This window comes from Homo sapiens, chromosome 11 (genome assembly GCF_000001405.40).
Source record: "Homo sapiens chromosome 11, GRCh38.p14 Primary Assembly".
NCBI lineage: Eukaryota > Metazoa > Chordata > Mammalia > Primates > Hominidae > Homo > Homo sapiens.
The window spans coordinates 7795743-7802248 of NC_000011.10; the positions used below are offsets into that span (position 1 = coordinate 7795743).

Here is a 6506-nt window from a genome sequence, read left to right on the forward strand (position 1 = left end):
GAACAAATGCTTCATTCAGCCATCCATTAATTCATTAATTTTTTCTTTATCTCTCCATTTTAAATATGCAAGTATGCTTATTAAGTTCTAGAAACTGTTTGAAAATTAGGTACATGGGGAGAAGAAAAGATGTGGTAGATTCTACATGAAACTTTCAACACTGTCAAGAAAGCAAACACTAAATCTGTATCTACACGTGCATTGAGTATTCTCAAGAGAAGAGATAGGGTTCTATGTAATATCATTATTTGAAGTTCTACTAAAATAACAAGCATCATGAGAAAGTATTTTTCTAACAAGCTCTCTCTTCAGAGCCCCCTTAATCTCCTTGTTCCTGAGGCTGTAGATCAGGGGGTTCAACATGGGAATCACCACTGTGTACAACACAGACACCACCTTGTTCTGGTCAGTTGAGTAGCTAAAATTGGGCATCACATAAATGAAGGTAATGGTCCCATAGAACAGGGTAACCACAGTGAGGTGGGAAGTGCAGGTGGAGAAGGCCTTGTGGTGCCCCTCAGTGGAGCGCATCTTCAGGATGGTGATGAGGATATAGATGTAGCAGACGGCTATGACACACACAGTGACCACAATGATGGATCCAGAAGAAAATGAGAGAACAACTGTGGAGACACTGATATCAGAACAGGAGAGTTCAAGTAAGGGAGCGAAATCACAGAAAAAATGATTGACTTGATTTGGTCCACAGAAGAGTAAAAAATAGAAGGAAGTAGTATAGGAGACAGCAATGAGAAAACCAGCTATGTAAACTACTAAGAGTAGCTGGACACTGACTTGTGTGGACATTTTGGTTGAATAAAGCAGTGGACTGCAAATTGCCACAAAGCGGTCATAGGCCATGGCAGCCAGAAGGACGCATTCGACTGTTGCAAAGAAAGCCGCTGAACCAAGCTGGATGGCACATCCAAGGTAGGAGACTGTATTTCTCTCCACCAGGAAGTTTACAAGCATGTTGGGTGTGACAGAAGATGAATAGGCCATGTCAGCAAAAGCCAAGTGGCTCAGAAAGAAATACATAGGATGATGGAGCTGAGAAGAAATTCTGATAAGAATAATTATGCTGAGATTACCAGATAGGATGATCATGAAGAGGATGACTCGAAGGATTGGATCATCTGTTAAGCCCAATAGGATGAACCCCGTCAGAGCGGTGTGATTCCCGTCCTTCAGGGAATTCATGAGACGAAGTAGCTGCTGACTAAATGAACCCTAATGAGAACAGCACATTAAAATGTTATAAATTTGATGGCTTCATCTTCATTAATATATACATGAAGGTTAATATGAACAGATGTATCATTCAAGGAAAGTTCAGACTTTTTTTTTTTTACCTTAGGGTTTCATTGTTTATGTATTTATGTGTAATCAGTCTTTCTATATTTTAAAATCTGTTTTAGAACACCAAAAAATTGCTTCAAATAATGTATATCCTTTTCAATTTGTATTTTTAATGAAATATATTTAAAGTTGCTTTAAAGAGAAAGATTTTAAAACATAAGACTTATAAGAATAATAAAAGGTATGGTACATATAACAAAAATGATTAAAATATATTAATGTAAGATTAATGAACACAAATATTAGCTAACATTTACTGAATGCCTATCAAATTACTGGCTCAGGGTTAAGAATTTTATCTATATGCATATAATATATAACATATTATTGTATTATATACATTATATATACAGAGATACGTATTTTAATTTCCATAAAATAATATGAAGCACTTTTATTATTACCATTTTATAGATAGGGAAACTAAGTTTGCAAATGTTAAGTAATTTACCTAAGGTTACACAGCAAGTGGTAGAATCTGGATCAGAATCCCACATAGTTTGAATCCAGTCAATTTCCATAATAACTATGTTATTAATGTAATTTGTATAAAATTGTATAATTTGTATAAAATTGTAAAACCATTACATTTATAGCATAGTTGGAGAATTTTTACCATGAAATCTGGTACACTTGAAAATCAGTAGATAACAGATTAACATTTCAGTTCTCTGAAATGTACAACTGATGTATAAAAGAGACGCCTAGCTAGTTACATAGTTTACAATGTTTATCAGTTAAACAACACTAGTTTTTTAAAAGAGACATACAATTTTCTTCATAGGACAGGGAAGAAATGGGAATTTCAAGTTATGCTTATGAATGAAGTCACCTAGTATAAATTGATTAATGACTTTTATTATTTCCAATTAAAATATTATTATATCAAGTAAGTTGAAATACCAATTTAACCATTATGCAAAATGTTGTATGATTAATATTCAGAACATAATTAAGATATTTAGTCAAACCAAATCTTTTCCTAGTGTAACAATGTTAACAAATTGAAGTATTATAGAATCAAATAATATTATTTTGGACATAATATACAGAAGAACAAAGTTTCAGCCTAGAAATATAAAAAGTTTACCAAGGGCCACTCTGTTGATGGCCAGCTTGACCCTCATCTCCAAGTTTTCTGGCCTTATAGCCTTATCTTTCTCCGAAATGTCTAGCTGGGCCAGCCATGGTGGCTCACATTTGTAATCCCAATACTTTGGGAGGCCGAGGTGGACAGATCACTGGAGTCCAGAAATTTGAGACCAACCTGTGCAACATGGCAAAACTTCATCTCTAAAAATGAGCCAGGCACGGTGGTGTGCACCTGTAGTCTCAGTTACTTAGGAGGCTGAGGTGGGAGGATCACCTGAGCCTGGGAGGTCAAGGCTGCAGTGAGCCATGATTACACCACTACACTCTAGCCTCAGTGATAGAGTGAGACCCTGTCTCCAAAAAAAAAGTGTCTTGGGCCAGGCATGGTGGCTCACATCTGTAATCCTAGCACTTTGGGAGGCTGAGATGGGTGGATCACTTGAGGTCAAGAGTTCGAGGCCAGCCTGGCCAACACCGTGAAACCCCATCTGTACTAAAAATACGAAAATTAGCTGGCATAGTGGTGCATGCCTATAATCCCGGCTACTCGGGAGCCTGAGGCAGGAGAATCACTTGAACCTGGGAGGCAGAGGTCGCAGTGAGCCAAGATCACAGCACTGCACTCCCAGCCTGGGTGACAAAGTGAGACTCACACTTAATTAATTTATATTAGCATTACAGCTGAGTGCCAAGTTTAGACGGCAGTGAAAGACCACGTGAGTTTCTGTTCTTATGGGTGGATAAATGAAGAATCTTGGTAAATTGAATCATGCCTGTTAACTCACACTAAATTGATGGCAGAAACTTAATTTAATTCACTAAAGTTACTTGCTAGCTGACTGCAAGATTACATCTGTTTTGTTTCTTAATTATGACTTGTGTGTACACATACAACTTTAGAGAATAAAGTGTTCTCAAATGAAACTCATTACACCAGATTCACCCACAAATCGAAAGTCTTACCTCATGAAATAAAAATTTAATCATCTGGCCGGGCGCGGTGGCTCAAGCCTGTAATCTCAGCACTTTTGGAGGCCGAGTCGGGCAGATCACGAGGTCAGGAGTTTGAGACCAGCCTGGCCAACATGGTGAAACCCCATCTCTAAAAATACAAAAATTAGCTAGGCTCAGTGGTGCACGCCAGTAGTCCCAGCTACTTGGGAGGCTGAGGCAAGAGAATCGCTTGAACCCGGGAACTGGAGGTTGCAGTGAGCTGAGATCGCATCACTGCACTCCAGCCTGGGCGACAGGGTGAGACTCCAACTCAAAACAAACAAACAAAAAATGTAATCATCTTACACTTATAAATTTAGATTCCTTGTTATTATATAGTAGCCACACTGTATTATTTTTTGCCTTTGGGGATAAATCTCTGAAGAGTCTAGAGACTCAAATGTGAATTAAAAGCAGCAGGAATCATTATCACATCCTCAAGTGAATATTGAGCAGTTCAACTCACAAAAACACACATAGTCTTTAAGAGGTTGTCAATTCTCAGATGATCAATTTTTTTCATTTTGTCTGAGGGGTGGTGCACTTTCATTTGATAGTTAATGGGAGTATAATATAATGCATTATCTCACAGCCAAATATTGGTTCTAAGTTTACTTTGATACTTCAGGTTAAAGAATACTAAACTGCAAATATAAAACAGTAAACAGTTTCATTCATTCAACAAATGTTCATTTTCTAAGTATTTTGTAGTGTTAGAGAACGTTCAAATAAACACAATTAGGAACAACAAAGGAAATATTACTACTGACCACATAGAAATACAAATAATCATCAGAGACTTCTATGAACACCTCTATGTCCACAAACTAGAAAATCTGGGAAAAAAATGGATAAATTCCTGGACACATACACTCTCCCAAGACTGAATCAGGAAGAAATGGAATATCTGAGCGGACAAATAGCAACCTCAAAATGAAAACAGCCAACTATGAAACCCACAGCCAACATCATACTGAACAGGCAAAAGCTGGAAGCATTGCCCTTGAAAACTGTCACAAATAAGGATGCCCTCTCTCACCACTCCTATTCAACACAGTATCGGAAGTCCTGGCAAGAGCAATGAGGCAAGAGAAATAAATACAGGACATTCAAATAGGAAGAAAGGAAGTCAAACCATTCCTGTTTGCAGATGACATGATTCTGTATCTAGAAAACCCCAACGTCTCAGCCCAAAAGCTCCCTAATTTGATAACTTCAGCATGGTCTCAGGATACAAAATCAACATACAAAAATCACTAGCATTCCTATATGCTAACAACAGCCAAGCTGAGAGCCAAATCAGAAAGGCATTCCCATTCACAAAAAGCATAAAATACCTAGGAATATAGCTAACCAGGGAGGTGAAAGATTTCTACAATGAGAATTACAAAGCACTATTCAAAGAAATCAGAGATGACACAAACAAATGCAAAAACATTCCACGCTCATGGATAGGAAAAAATCAGTATTATTAAATTGGCCATGCTGCACAAAGCAATTTACAGATTCAGTGCTATTCCTATTAAACTACCAATGATAGTCTCCCCAGAACTAGAAAAAAATTAATTCATATGTAATCAAAAAAGAGCCCAAATAGCCAAGGCAATCCTAAGCAAAAAGAACAAAGCTGGAGTCATCACGTTGTAATACTCGAATTCAGACTATACTACAGGACTACAGTAGCCAAAACAGCCTGGAACTGGTACAAAAGTGACACATTGACCAACAGAACAGAATAGACAACCCACAAATAAGGCCACACATACAACCATCTGATCTTTGACAAAGCTGACAAAAACAAGCAATGGGGAAAGGACTGTCTATTCAATAAATGGTGCTGGGATAACTGGCTAATGATATGCAGAAGATTGAAACTGGACCCCTTTCTTACACTACATTAAAAAAAACTTAAGATGAATTAAAGACTTAAATGCAAAACTATAAAAACCCTGGAATATAACCTAGGCAATACCATTCTGGACATAGGAGCTGACAGAGATTTCATGACGGAAATGGCAAAAGCAAATACAACAAGAGCAAAAATTGACAAATGGGATCCAATTAAACTAAAGAGCTTCTGCACAAAAAGAGAAACTATCATCAGAGTAAACAGACAACCTACAGAACGGGAGAAAATATTTGCAAACTATGCATCCAACAAAGGTCTAATATCCAGAATCTATAATAAACTTACACAAACTTACAAGATGAAAACAAAAAGCCCATAAAAATGTGTGCAAAGGACATGAACAGACACTTTTCAAAGGAAGACATACAAGCATATGGAAAAAAAGCTCAATATCATTGATCATTAGAGAAACACAAATCAAACCCACAATGAGATACCATCTCACACCAGTCAGGATGGCAATCATTAAGAATTCAAAAAAACCAGATGCTGGTGAGGTTGCAGAGAAAAGGGAATGCTTATACACTGTTGGTGGGAGTGTAAATTAGTTCAGCCATTGTGGAAAGCAGTGTGGTAATTCCTCAAAGAGGTAAAACAGAACTACCATTTGACCCAGAAATCCCATTTCTGGGTATATACCTTGATATGGTTTGGCTGTGCCCCCACCCAAATCTCATCCTGAATTGTAGCTCCCATAATCTCCATATGTCATGGGAGGGATCTTGTGGGAGGTCATTGAATCACGGAGGCAGGTTTTTTCCATGCAGTTCTTGTGATAGTGAATAAGTCTCACTAGATCTGATCATTTTATAAAGGGCAGCTCCTCTGCACATTTGCTCTTGCCTGCCACCATGTAAGACACGCTTTTGTTCCTCCTTTGCCTTCTGTCATGACTGGGAGGCCTCCCCAGCCATGTGGAACTGTGAGTTTATTAAACTCACAGTTTTCTTTATAAATTACTCAGTCTCGGGTATGTGTTCAGAGCAGTATGAAAATGGACTAACACATACCCAAAGAAATATAAACTATTCTATCATAAAGACACATCCCCATGTGTATTCATTGCAGCACTAGTCATGATAGCAAAGACATGGTGATATGGTTTGACTGTGTCCTCACCCAAATCACATCTTGAATTGTAGCTCCCATAATT

At 37.7% G+C, this 6506-nt stretch overlaps 1 protein-coding gene across 1 annotated transcript; it reads right to left on the reverse strand.

Annotated features, from left to right (window-relative positions):
• Nucleotides 1-231: 231 nt before the first annotated feature.
• OR5P2 (olfactory receptor family 5 subfamily P member 2) lies at nucleotides 232-1200 on the reverse strand. The gene has a single exon (NM_153444.1). The coding sequence runs from the start codon at nucleotides 1198-1200 to the stop codon at nucleotides 232-234; it is 969 nt and encodes a 322-aa protein (NP_703145.1).
• Between the last annotated feature and the right edge of the window lie 5306 nt (nucleotides 1201-6506).

What these genes read in the sequence shown, in the direction of transcription:
- OR5P2 (NM_153444.1), bottom strand. Translation starts at nt 1,200, where the DNA reads ATGAATTCCCTGAAGGACGGGAATCACACCGCTCTGACGGGGTTCATC.